The sequence below is a fragment of the Homo sapiens genome, chromosome 8 (assembly GCF_000001405.40).
Source record: "Homo sapiens chromosome 8, GRCh38.p14 Primary Assembly".
NCBI lineage: Eukaryota > Metazoa > Chordata > Mammalia > Primates > Hominidae > Homo > Homo sapiens.
Window position 1 is genome coordinate 8,903,328 of NC_000008.11, and position 14,681 is coordinate 8,918,008.

Consider the following 14,681-nt stretch of genomic DNA (forward strand, 5'->3'; position numbering starts at 1 on the left):
CCTGCCTTCCAACCTGACTCTGTCCTAACATCACATAACAAGGAAGTAAATCAAAATATTTTAACCCCAAATATGTTTCCTTGCCATACCTTGAAAGTGTCCTGCACAGTCGTCTCTTGTGGGGAAAAATCTGCATTCTATAAATAATCCCCTTTTCCCTTTTTCCAGGCCTTTTTCTGGATCCAGGAGCGAATCAACTAAGAAAGAGCCTAGCACCCTTTTAAGTCCGGTAAGAAACATTTACAACCTATTCTCTGTGAAGCCTGCTACCTGAAGACTTCCTCTTGCGTAGTAAAAACTTTGGTCACTAAAATCCTTTATCTTAACCCAGACATTTCCTTTCTATTGATCCCAGGTCTTTAGATATACTCAACAAATTGTCAACCAGAAAAATTTTAAATCTTCCTATAGCCTGGAAGCCCCACCCCCGCTTTGAGTTGTCCCACCTTTCTGACACAAACCAATGTACATCTTAAATGTATGTGATTGGCCGGGTGAGGTGGCTTATGCCTGTGATGCCAGCACTTTGGGAGGCTGAGGTGGGCTGATCACTTGAGGTTAGGAATTTGAGGCCAGCCTGGCAAACATGATGAAACCTCGTCTCTATTAAAACTACAAAAAGTACCCAGGCCTGGTAGCGCGTGCCTGTAATCCGAGCTACTCTGGAGGCTGAGGTAGGAGAATCGCTTGAACCCAGGAGGCAGAGGTTGCAGTGAGCCGAGATCATGCCACTGCACTCCAGCCTGGGCAACAGAGTGAGACTCTGTCTCAAAAAACAAACAGAAAAGAATTTGATTGATATTTTATGTCTCCCAAAAATGTATAAACCAAGCTGTGCCCCACACCTAGGGCACGTGTTCTCAGGACTTCCTGAGGGCTGTGTCACCGGCCATGGTCACTCATATTGGGATCCGATTAAAATATTTCTTCAAATATTTTAGAGTTTGACTTTTTTCATCAACATGATGAAGCCATGTATTTAATAAACCCAGGAAAACCAAAGTTATCATTTATTTCTGATACTAATGACTCATAGCAAAAACAACTTCTGTTTACTTTTCTGTAAAACAAAACAAGAAAACCTAGTCTACTCTCGATGTCATCCTATGAAATAAGAGTCCTTGAAATAATGCCATAAGGGACTATGGTGTATAATAATGTAAGCATCGCCGTTGGTCATAAGTTCATTACTAACCCCACAAATATTTATGTAAGGCCCTGGCTAAGCTGCCTGGACTCGAGACAACTTAAGAAGACTTCTATCTTTGTTCTCTCCCTCAAAGCGTACACATAAAGCATTTAGCCACTATTGATTAAGGTGCTCTTCCAAAGCTGTGGTCCTCTGATAAAGTTAACAAGATACACTCTGTTTCAAAATTCTCTGATTTGATGGAAGTAGCTAACAGACCCCTCTGTCTGGTTCCTTTGTCCCCTAATTACAGCAGCTGTTCTGGTATTTAAGAACAATTTGAGGAAGCCGTTCCCTTTCTCTGTAAGAGAATATTGTTCCATTGCCTTGGTGGATCTTGAATACAATGATGTTAACATTTAATTTATATTTTCAAAACAATACTTGGAATATTAAGTTTATGTATTACAGGTTTGGTTTTGTTCTAGTATGGAACGCTGAATTTATTATTATTTTTCTTAGTTGGGCTTATTTTAGTAAGTTCTTATTAGCAAGTTTAACATGTTGTACCAATTAAATGAAAATATCCTCCAAAATTGTTTGGAAAAATTATAGAAGCCTTATCCTAGCAGCTTAGGACATAATCATATGTCTCTGCTGCTTATCATGACTGTGTTACAGGCTGTGTCTCTGCAGAGCAACTGGATTTAACTGGAACCAAACTCAGGTTTCCTCTTAAATTTTAGTGTTCACTTTCTTACGGATGATGTTCTTAAAATGGATAGTTTATTTTTAAATATCCTCATGCGTAACATTAAATCTGACAAAAGATTCTAGGACATGCTTTTAAAAATACAGTTGCTGTGATGCACAGCTTTTTCGTATCTGTGTAAATTCACAATGGCTCTTCAACTGCTCCCTGTCTCCCCCAGTAGTGGGCTGTCAGGAGCCATTTGTCCATGTGACCCCACATCCTTGCCTTCGAATAATTAGACCTGAGGTAGGTGCTTAACTGAAACGGGGCCAAAGTCTCTTTCTTAGAAATTTGGACTTGGTCACGCCTATAATCCCAGCACTTTGGGAGGCCGAGGCGAGTGGGTTGCCTGAGTGCGGGAGTTTGAGACCAGCCTGCGCAACACGGTGAAACCCCGTCTCTACTTGACAATCACTTGAACTTAGGAGGCAGAGGTTGCAGTAAGCCTAGATTGCGCCATCAAACTCCAGCCTGGACGACTGAGCGAGACTCCGTCTCAAAAAAAAAAAAAAAAAAAATACAGCAAGAAATTTGGACTTGGGGTTGAGAGAAGGAAAGCCAGTCTTTCTCTGGGTCCAGATGGTAAATTTGGAACCATAAGAAGGCAACTCCAGACTATTAAGGGGACTTAGGAGCAGAGAAAAGCCAGTCCACCGAGAAAGAAGATGGCAAATATGAGAGGCCACGTTTCTTGAGTTTCCAACATTTTGCTTTCTTGACTGGTATTCTTGAATCCTAGCTCCTCTCCCTGCCTTCGAGACTTACAATAAATCTCCTGCTTTTGCTAGAGTGCCTTTGAATTGGTTTCTCTTCTTTAAAACCCAAAGAATCTTAACATAGAAATTTTTATCTGGAAGTGAGTTTACAAGTTACAGTCCATTAAAGGAAATTGTTATATCAAAGCAGATGGGGTGAGAAGTGGATAGTCCTCTAACCAAGAAACAGTATGGTTTCATGTGTGCAGTTCTTGTAGACTTTCAAGGAAGTACAGTAAGAGCAAGAAAGAGAGAGACTTCAGGCCAAGCTTGCCTTGCTGAAAGAAGACAATGGAAAATAGAGTAAGAATACAGTTATGTACCAGAAGCCTTTCTGATCACAGCCAGCCGTCTAATCTTGCTGAAAGTTAATCTAAAAAGCATCTATAAGGGCCATTCATGGTGGCTCATGCCTGTAATCCCAGCACTTTGAGAGGCCAAGGCGTGTGGATCACCTGAGTTCAAGAGTTCAAGCCCATACTGGGCAACATGGCGAAATCCCTTCTGCACAAAAAATACAAAAGTTAGCCGGGTGTGGTGGCAGGCACCTGTAGTCCCAGCTACTCGGGAGGCTGAGAATGAGAATTGCTTGAGCCTGGGAGGCAGAGGTTGCAGTGAACCGAGATTGCACCCCTACACTCCAACCTGGGTGACAGAGCGAGACCCTGTCCCAAAAGAAACACATCTGTAAGGACACAAACCATGCTAATTATGTATCATGCTTAGTAGCAACCAGATCCTTTATTGTAACCATTTTTGAAACTAAAATTGGGGTGTTGATTGGGAAAATGTATGTTTATAATTAGAATGAGAATATCTGATAGAAACCAGAGGACCTAAGGACTTCAGCTTCAAAACTTCTGCTTTGATTCCCAAAACCCTGCACATGTCTGTTTCATTCCATTCATCCCATCAGATAAACACGCTGAGACCTGCCCCCTTGTAAAGCAAATCAGTTTTACAACAGCTTTGCAACATGGGGGCACAGGTGACATTTCATGATTTATTAGAGAAAAAAAGTGTCATCATAAGTTAAAGACAATGATAAAGTGTTTTCAATACATACGACATAGGGTTTATGGTAAAAATATATAAGGAGTTCCTACCAATCAATTTGCGAAAGATGAGTACCATAATACAAAAACAGGCAAAACAGTTTGCATTAGGACAAATGCAAATAGCTAGTAAACATATTTTTAAAATAGTTTAACTTTGAAGAGTAATCAAACTAATGCAAATTAAAATAGGATACCATATTTAGCCTCTCAAATTGGAATCAATTTTTAAACATCCAATATTAACCAGAGAATAGGCAAAAGTAACACTAACAAATACTGCAGCTAGAGGTGCAAATTGGTAGAACGGTACATAAACATTTAATAATATACAGCAAAAACCTAAGAAAATGTTCTACTCTTGGGAATTATTTTACTTTTAGAAATTTCTGCTAGCCAAAAAGCTGAGAAAAATAAAAAGTTTTCTAAAAAGGCTTGGTACAGTGGCTCACACCTGTAATCCAAGCACTTTGGGAGGCCGAAGCGGGTGGATTACTTGAGGACAGGAGTACTTGAGACCAGCCTGGCCAACGTGGTGAAACCCCATCTCTACTAAAATAAAAATTACGAAAAAAATTTTTTAAAAAATTCTAAAGAAATAGAGATGCACCCAAAGATCGACATACAAGGATATGTAGAGGGGAATACTGAAAACACTCTGGATTTCCAAATGATTAAATAAATGTTGGCATGGATATATGATGGAATCCATGTAGCTATTAAAAACTGTTTTCCAAGAAAATTTAATAACTTTTAAAAATACTTATGCTGTAGTATTTGTTGACAAGATCAAACTACAGTCCTTCATATAAACATGACCTTACTTTGATAAATAAAATAGATCTATTTGTAATTATATATATAATGTGTGTGTAAATATGTATTCATAGAAAAAAGCCTGAAAATATATGCATCAGATTATGAGTAGTTGTTAGTTCTGCTTACTGGAATTACAGCAATTTTCTTTTCTTTCTTTTTTATTTTTCAAATTTCCTATAATAGGTATGATCTTTATCAGAATAAATTATATATCAAAAGAAATTCACGCAAAAATATACATACACTTTGTTCAATCACAAAAATACTTGTAATATTTAATGTGATATTTCTATATCTCAATTTATGATTCAGAGCAAATATGTTCACAAGGAAATCCCCCTCTTTCCTGGAATATCACACTCTGTGCTTCCTTCTTGGCCATAACACAATCCTTATTCAACATGTGCAGTTTCTCCAAGTTAATTGCATGAGACTCATAAAATTGGGGATTTTTAAATACATTTCAACAATGTCAGGAATCTGGTTGCTTAGTATTTCAGTACAAAACATTTCCAGCACTCTCACTTCTAGCTGAAAAAAAAAAAAAAAAATTGAAGCAGATGAAGTTCTGAATATGCTGTTTTTGCTTAACTTTAATCCTTTTAAACAGACTCTTCTGCCCCACCCCTCCCTTTATAAACACCCTATTTCTCTACCCCTCATCCCTTTGTGTAGAGCTGATCATTGGACAATAGGCGAACATGTGTAGGTGTCAAGCTTAACAGCAGGTAAAGAGACCAAGAGCACCAAAGGGGATTGAGCCTGAGAGACAGGAGTCTGGGCTAATGACCCATATTATACTCTAGTTTGCCTTCACCTGGCATGTGCATGGAAGATGGTGCTTGATGCCTTGTCCAAGTTGATACAAATATGCTACCAGAAGACCCCACATGTGAGAATTTGAGGTATTATCAAAGACTGGGTAAGGAGGTACATCGGGTGCAATGGTACCTGTCACATGGATAATCTGTTAGGTGGAGTTTTGTAATCAAGTGATAGACAAAGCCCCATTGTAATTATAGTGAAATCTCTACCCTCCCTCACTCTGTGACCATGGGCAAGTTGCATAGCCACCATGACTGTCAATTCCATCAACTATAAAAGGAAGGAGTTGAATTATATCAGGTTCTCTTTTTTTTTGTAGACGGAGTCTTGCTCTATCATCCAGGCTGGAGTGCAGTGGTGCAATCTCGGCTCACTGCAACCTCCGCCTTCCGGGTTCAAGCAATTCTCCTGCCTCAGCCTCCTGAGTAGCTGGGACTACAGGCACCTGCCACCATGCACAACTAATTTTTGTATTTTTAGTAGAGACGATGTTTCACCATATTGGCCAGGCTGGTCTCAAACTCCTGACCTCAAGTGATCCACCTGCCTTGGTCTCCCAAAGTGCTGGGATTACAGATGTACATCACATTCTTAATTTGGAGTCTGATGATGGGCATCAGAAGGTCCATGAACAGGTAAAATTATCAGCAAAATAATATGCATTTTTCTAGGAAAAAGATTCATAGCTTACATCAGATTCTCAATTCATGAACCCAAGAGAGACTGACCCACAGAATTATACAACCTTTAAATTTCATTCGAGATCAACATTCCAGGATTCTCCATTGATGCATATTTTGGATAGAACTTTTACTTGATTAGAAAACTTTATTTTATTGTATCTCAGCTTTTTGGATAGAAAAAAATTTTTAATAATATAAATAAATGAGTAAAAAGAAAGCTTTATTTTATACCACGTTTAGGTTTACTCAGACTTCAAACAGGTAAGGCCAGACTCCAGTGTGAAGTAAAAAATATGTTTCCTCTCTCGTCTATAAGGAATTTTTCTACAAAAGGGGTTTGAATATGTATGGGTGCACAGGAGCTACAAAATACAGAAAATATATTAAAATAGTTAAAAATCTGTTATATTTCATGTCAGTGAAGGACATTTTGCAACTGTGGGAAATTAGACACAATTTACTAGTTTTGTTCATCCAATTAAAATATTTTAAATGTAATGTGTCTTAAGGATAGTTATACACAGTGTTTTCAGTATATGATCCCGATGCCAACCTTGGCATAGTATTTTTTTTTCTTTTTTGAGACAGATTCTCACTCTGTTGCCCAGGCTGGAGTGCAGTGGCTCCATCACAGCTCACTGCAGCCTTTATCTCCCCAGGCTCACATGATTCTCCTACCTCAGCCTCGTGAGTAGCTGGGACTACATGTGCACGCCACCATGCCTGGCTAAATTTTGTATTTTTTGTAGAGATGGGGTTTTACCATGTTGTCCAGGCTGGTGTCGAACAATCCACCTGCCTCAGCCTACCAAAATATTGGAATTACAATTGTGAGCCACCACACTTGGCCAGCATAGTATTTTTTTTTTTATTTTTTGAGACACAGTCTCGCTCTGTCATGCAGGTTGGAGCGCAGTGGTGTGATCTTGGCTCACTGCAACTTCTGCCTCCTGGGTTCAAGTGATTCTCCTGCTTCAGCCTCCCTAGTAGCTGGGACTACAGGCATGTGCTACCATTCTTGGCTAATTTTTTTGTATTTTTAGTAGAGACGGGGTTTCACTATGTTGGCCAGGCTGGTCTCGAACTCCTGACCTCATGATCTGCCCACCTCAGCCTCCCAAAGTGCTGGGATTACAGGCATGAGCCACCACGCCTGGCCTCAGCATTGTATTTTTACAGAGTAGGCTGGGCTACAGAGGAAGACCCTGTCTCAAGAAAAGAATAGATTGGAAGGATATGGGGGAATGTTATAGAACTGTAACTCCAAGATCCCTAACCCCATCAATATGTAAATAATGTAGCGATAATGAATTCAGAATCTCCAGATTTTCATTCCCTGCTTGACATTAATAATGTAACATATCTATTCACATCGGTCTCTCTGACATTTACCTATTCTTTCAAGAGACCACATTAAAAGCAACTAAATGATGATACAGACGTTTAGCATCTTGCGGCTTTGGACACTAGCTAGAGATGTGTCGGGAAATTCTGTATGGAAGGAGCACTCTGGGAGCGTTTTTGCTAGGGGCCACTGAAGCATGGTGCTAGATAATAGCCCTGTTTTTTGACCAGCCTCGCTGAGCATGCAGAGCTGATCTCACGTGTTCTGGGTGACCTGCAACGACGTCAGTGTGCAGCAGAGACACCACATCCACAGAACAAAACAATAGACCGGCCCTGCAACTGTGGACCGCAGTTCATTTTTATTCTAAAGTAGTTAACCTTGGATTGTTAGAGCTCCTATAAAAGTCTTACAAAAGGTGAAATTTGGTCATTTAATATTACATTGCTCATCTCTTTAGCTTTTTGAAAAATATTGCTACCATGTATTTTTATGTAGTGTTGTCCCCCCAAATTCAGTCAATTTGCAAATGAAGATGAAAATAAAACAATTAAAAAGAATAAGACATTGGGGAGGCTGTGGCTGGTGGATCACTTGAGGTCAGGAGTTCGAGACCAGCCTGGCCAACATGGTGTAACCCCGTCTCTACTAAAAATACAAAAATTAGCCAGGCATGGTGCCATGAGCTTGTAATCACAGCTACTGGGGAGGCTGAGGCATGAGAATCATTTTAACTCGGGAGGCAGAGGTTGCAGTGAGCCGAGATAGCACCACTAAACTCCAGCCTGGGTGGCAGAGTGAGACTCAGTCTCAAAAAAAAAAAGAATGAGACAATTGGATAAAAACAAAATGTAGTATATTCATGCAGTGGGATATTATTCAGCCATAAAAAGGAGGGAAATTCTGATATATGCTATAATGTGGGTGGGTCTTGAAGATGTGATGCTGAGTGAAATAAGCCAGTCACAAAAGGTCAAATATTGTATGAGTTCACTAATATGAGACACCTAGAGAAGTCAAATTCAGAGCCAGAAAGCAGAATGTTGATTGTCACACTGTTGAGGGAGTTGAGTGGGCTGGGGAATGGAGAGCTACTGTTTAATGGGTGCAGAATTTCTGTTTGGGAAGATGAAGACTCTCTGGTGATGGATGGTGATGATGATTGCATGACAATATGAATGAAGTTAACGTCACTCAACTTTACACTTAACAATGGTAAATCTTACGTTGTGTATATTTTACCACAATTTTTTAAATCCACTGAATTGTAAAACAAACAAACAAAAGGCTAGGCATGGTGGTGCATGCCTGTAATCCCCACTCTTTGGGAAGCCAAGGCAGGCAGACAGCTTGAGGTCCGGAGTTCGACACCAGCCTGGCCATCATGGTGAAACCCCATCTCAATTAAAAATGCAAAAACTAGCCGGGTGTTGTAGCACGTGCCTGTAGTCCCATCTACTAGGGAGGCTGAAGCACGAGAAATGTTTGAACCAGGAGTCAGAAGTCCCAGTGAGTTGAGATCTCGCCACTGCACTCCTGGGCAACAGAGTGAGACTCTGACTCACAAGAAAATAAAAAGAACAGAAATAAATAAATTGTGAGATAGTGAAGGAAATTTGAATACTAAGTAGATGTGCAATGATGTAGAAGAATTATTATTAATTTTGATCTCTTTCAAAGACTCTCTTTTAGAGCTACTTAGTGAAATCTTTACAGATGAAATAATGCTGTCATTTGCTTCAGAAAAATCTGGTGAGTGCTAACAAGGAGGGTAGAGATGAAACAGTGTCAACCATGAGTCACTTAAATTTAAAAAGAGAGGGAAAAAAGAGCACACCTGTAAACACATATTGCTGTTAACCTTACATAAATAAAATCAGAATCTATGATTTTTAACCAAAATGTGTTACCTATTGGAATCTAAACTTTAGTTTGCTTGCCCAAACTAAGAGTGAATTTGTGTATATATTCTCTAAACTGTGTACTTCTTGAGAACCAAGTTTGTTGTTTTATCTTAAAAAAAGTCGAGAAAATAAAGGGCACTAATAAATATTTGATGAAGAAACAATGGACTCTATTTTTGGAATTCCTATGCTGCCCTGTAGACCATCACTGTTTACTTGGAGAAGAAGTCTGCCTATCTTACTCTCACTCTTAGGACACACGGGTTGATATTGACTTACACAAGCCCCCCAGTCACTCCATCCCAGCTGCCAAGCCTTTGTATTGTAACTTATAGGCCCCCACACATTCTATTTATGATTCCCTTTGTTTAGAAAGCTCTCTTAAGATGTTTGCAAGAACCTCCTCTCCCTGCTTTTTCTTGTAACCTTCCCTAGACACCTGCTCTAGCCACCGCGATATGGTTTGCATCTGTGTCCCCACCCAAATCTCATGTTCAATTGTAATTGAACATGTTCAAGGTGGGGCTTGGTGGGAGGTGATTAAACCATGGGGGTGGATTTCCCCCTTGGTGCTCTTCTTGTGATAGTGAGTGAGTTCTTGTGAGATCTGGCTGTTTAAAAATTGTGTAGCATCTCCCTCTCTTGCTCCTGCTATGGCCATGTAAGAGGTAGGTGCCTGCTTCCTCTTCCCCTTCCACCATGATTGTTTCCTGAGATCTCCCCAGAAGCTGAGCAGATGCCAGAATCATGCTTCCTGTACAGCCTGGGGAATGAGTCAACTAAACCTCTTTTCTTTGTAAATTACCCCAGTCTCAAGTATTTCTTTATAGCAATGCGAGAACCGGCTAACACGGAAAATTGGTACCGGGGATCAATAGGATCCCTACTCTTACTTTGTCTACCTCTCTATTTCTTTACCCATATCCTATCTCCTCCCTCCATGCACTTACCACTACCTGATATGTTTGTTTGTTGTCTTCTTCCCCTATAAGACTATAACCTCATGAGGAAGGAAATTTGACTGTTTTATTCACCATTGACTTTTAACCTTGGCCTTGGCACAGGGTAGGTCACAAATGAATATTTATTGCATCAATGAATAAAGTGTTAAAAAGGCACTAACATTAAAGAGATTCTAACTTCTAGCTAGAACAATGAACTTCACTCATCTTTAGCAACCTCTTCCTTGGGAACTTTCATGGAATTTAACTACTTGTACTTTTCATCTTCACAGTGCATGTAAATAATTAATGATTTTGCTCCATGACACAGATGCTAATGCTGCATTTTATAGATGGGAAAACTAAAGCATAGACTAACTAAATCCCTAAAGATCAATGAATGAGTCAACGTCAGAGCCAGATGAATAGAATTTGGGATATTTAGTTCTGAGCAACTGATTCCCCAAAGTCGTTTAACTATATTTTGTGCTTGTTATAGCTCATTTAAAAGCATTCACAATTCCCCAATTTAAAATCTTTTCAAGTGAGGAATTGGTTTGTTGTGACAGCAGGTGATTCAGTTGCTGTAAGCGCTCATTCAGGAACTCATTCCTCAATCTGGATACAGTAATTCACAAAGTAAGCTAATGCTCTCCTACTGATCTCTCTGCCGCCAGTTATTTGTTCTGCCAGGCATCCTTTAGAAAGACGAGAATGTCTTTCTAAATCCCAAATGAGGCCAGGCAGGGTGGCTCATGCCTATAATTCCAGCACTCTGGGAGGCCGAAGTGGGTGAGTCACTTCAGGCAAGGAGTTTGGGACCAGCCTGGGCAACATGGTGAAACCTCATCTCTACTAATAATACAAAAAAAAAAAACAGCCAGGCGTGGCGGCATGCACCTGTGATCGCAGCTACTTGGGAGGCTGAGGCGGGAGGATCACTTGGCCCGGGAGGCAGAGATTGCGGTGAATCAAGATTGCACCACTGTACTCCAGGCTGGGTGACAGAGCAAGACCCTGTCTCAAAAAAAAAAAAAAATCCCAATCTGATTGTGCCACACCCTAAACACATGTGTGTAAAAGTTGCATAAAGGGTTAACAGAAGCAGAGTTCTTCCTTCAGAAGGTAAAAATGTGTCAAGAAAATTGAGAAATAAAATGAAGAAATGCTGAGTGAGAGCTCAGTAAGTATCTAGGACTATGAATAACTACATCCAAGACATTAGTATGTTTGTCTGTATAAAATATGTTGAATTTGCTTGTAAAATTCAGGCACTCTAATAGATTTGTTTTTCTGCTGCTGGAAATATTAAGGAATGACCATAGGTCAAAATTTGCATTTGCTTCCTATCATGTAGAAACTTAAGCAGAATAAATAGGATCACAAAATTAACATTTTATTGTATTCATTTCAAAGATCTATAGTCACCTCACTAATCTCACTGAATGAAATTATCTTGTTACTTATTTATATAAGGAAAAAAGAGCAAGTCAACTTCAATGAATAAAATGTGAATTTTTTTAAAAAAGTAAGTAGCGGCTGGATGCGGTGGCTCATGCCTGTAATCCCAGCACTTTGGGAGGCCGAAGCGGGCAGATTACCGGAGGTCAGGAGTTCGAGACCAGCCTAGCCAACATCGTGAAACCCCGTCTCTAATGAAAATACAAAAATTAGCTGAACGTGGTGGCACACACCTGTAATCCCAGCTATTTGGGAGGCTGAGGCAGAATTGCTTGAGCCCAGGAGACGGAGGTTGCAGTGAGCCGAGATCATGCCACTGCCCTCCAGCCTGGCCGACAAAGCAAGACTCTGTCTCAAAAAAAAAAAAAAAAAAAAAAAAAGTAAGTTACTGTTTTAGCAGAACTATATGGTCTATAAATAATTTACCAGTTAGTAGTTTCATTAATGTTCATTCCTCATTTTGTTTTAAAATGGATTGTGCCACCCCACATCTATTGCAAATGTAGGGGAAACCCTTTGTGTAGTGTCTGTGAAAGAGTTTCTCAAAGTCTAATTTAATTTTTAATTATTCAAATGTTACTAGAAAGTATGACCCCAAAGTTCAGTATGCAATCTCGTTTTTCATTAAGAATTCTCTTTTAAAATGCGGACGTCTCAAAAGGAAAAAAAAAGGGGGGGGCGGTGGGAGCTGGGGGCCATGGCTCACACCTGTAATCCCAGCACTTTGGGAGGCCTAGGCAGGCCGATCACTGGAGGTCAGGAGTTTGACACCAGCCTGGTCAACCTGGTGAAACCCTGTCTCTACTAAAAATACAAAAATTAGCTGGGCGTGGTGGTGCTTGCTTGTAATCCCAACTACTGGGGAGGTTGAGGCACAAGAATAGCTTGAACCTAGGAGGTGGAGTCGGCACTGAGCCGAGATCATGCCACTGCACTCCAGCCTGGGTGACAGAGTGAGATTCTGTATCAAAATATAAACAAATAATCATAATAACAATCATTATATAGGGACAGTGGTTCTCAACTTTGGCTGCACTTTGGAATCACCTGGAAACTTTACAAATAGTGATCCCTGGATTCCACCGCCTAAGATGTGTGTTTATTTGATCTGAGGAGTGGCCTAGGCATTGTGATTTTTTAAAGCAGCATCCAAAATGCAACCAAGATAGAGACCCTTGAAGAAGAGGCTCAGTCCATGGAAGTCCCTATGCAAGACCTGAGAATGGAATCTAAGAAGGACCCAAAGCCAGAGAACCCCGAATATAATGGTTTCTAGATTTCTCTGTAAGTCTAGATGTTGTAAACAATTTCAGTATTGCCGTTAGTAATATCTTACTGTATTCTTCAATGCTGTGGCTATTTCTCAAAAGGATCTAGTTTTCAGAATCTAGGATTTAAGTTAAATTAGGCTAAGATGAAAAGGATGTCAACGTAATCAAAACTTTGGTATTAGGCCGGGCACAGTGGCTCATGCCGGTAATCCCAGCACTTCGGGAGACTGAGGCCATGAGGATCACTTCAGCCCAGGAGTTTGAGGCCAGCCTGGGCAACATAGCAAGATGCCGTATCCACAAAATTTAGCCAGGCATGGTGGTGCATGCCTGTAGTTCAAGCTACTTGTAAACTGAAGTGGGAGGATCACTTGAGCCTGGGAGGTCGAGGCTGCTGTGAGCCATGACCGCACTTCAGCCTGAGGGACAGAGTGAGACCCTGTCTCAAAACAAACTCTGAGAAAAGAAAAAAACAACTGTGGTATTACATGTGAGCCATGCAGAACCAAAGTGGTTATTTGTATAATATAAACTGCCTCAATATAATTCTTAATAATAAAATACACACGAAGTATGTTTACTCTTATTTTAGAGCTCTTAAAGCTTCATCATCAATCATTCTCTCTTGCTGGAAAATGGATACAGATTTGAATGCCTGAAAGTTCTACCCATGCTGATACCTATAGCTTAAAGTAAAACACAGCCCTGTTGTTACACAGTAGTTATTACATTTAACAATTCAGATCCCTCTATATGAAGAGTCCCAGGGGTACATGGTTTGCATTTATTTGCTAGCAAGTTCTCACACCTGGTATGTATTTGGTTTGCTTGCTTGCTTAATTGTGAATGTTAACAAAGATAACATAGAAAAATAGATACAGGTGGTGGCTCATATCTGTTATCCCAGCACTTTGGGAGGCTGAGGCAGGTGGATCACTTGAGCCCAGGAGTTCGAGACCAGCCTGAGCAACAGGATGCAACCCATCTCTACAAAAAATACAAAAATTAGCCAGGTGTGGTGGCACATGCCTGTAGTTGCAGCTACTTGGGAGGCTGAGGTGGGAGGATTACTTGAGCCCAGGAGGTGGAGGCTGCAGTGAGCCATGATTGCACCACTGCACTCCCGCTTGGGTGACAAAGCAAGACTCTGTCTCAAAAAGAAAAAGAAAAATAGATACAAATGAGGAAGTAATTACTGAAAAAGAAATCCTTTTTTCATAATGAGCAAGAAAAAGCACAAAAACTTTGACCTCTGAGATCTAGGACTAGAAACCCTGACCCTCTCCATAGTTCAACCTTTGCATCTCACTGGGAGCTTCCAGAACCCTGATTGCCTGAATCCCTTCCTTCACTGGTGGTGGTGTTGGATCCTTGTCACTAGATGACTTAAGCTCCTTTAAAGTGTTGCTTTCCCCCTCCTTGCTGCAGGCTGTTGGGACAACATTTGCTATACGTTCTCAGAAGCAAGGAAGCTGGTGTCATCATTCAGCACCCCTGTTCAAACACTCCCTTTAATAATTCCTCCTGTTTCGTCTGGCTCATTGGGTGTTGCCCATAAAAACAGTTTGGCTTTTGTAATTACAATTAGAGCAGGCGGCATGACTAATCAGTCAGTTCACTGCATCTCTTGTTATCTTCTGTGAAGTGAGTCAGTTTCAACTTTGCCTTTGTGCTTATGTGTCATTCTCTGCTCTTTGATGTTCAAGTCTATATTGGTTCCAGACTCTGTTTTATTTAAT

At 40.3% G+C, this 14,681-nt stretch overlaps 2 annotated features.

The window, feature by feature from the left end:
• Nucleotides 10,535-11,144: an enhancer, noted in NCBI's record as "OCT4-NANOG hESC enhancer chr8:8771372-8771981 (GRCh37/hg19 assembly coordinates)". NCBI's record gives its function as "activates a minimal SCP1, AML or CMV promoter by ChIP-STARR-seq in naive H9 embryonic stem cells {active_cell/tissue: H9 hESC(naive)}" and the evidence as "EXISTENCE:reporter gene assay evidence [ECO:0000049][PMID:30033119]".
• Nucleotides 13,661-13,926: a silencer, noted in NCBI's record as "fragment chr8:8774498-8774763 (GRCh37/hg19 assembly coordinates)". NCBI's record gives its function as "represses an EF-1alpha promoter that drives an FKBP-Casp9 reporter gene in an ReSE screen in HepG2 liver carcinoma cells {active_cell/tissue: HepG2}" and the evidence as "EXISTENCE:reporter gene assay evidence [ECO:0000049][PMID:32094911]".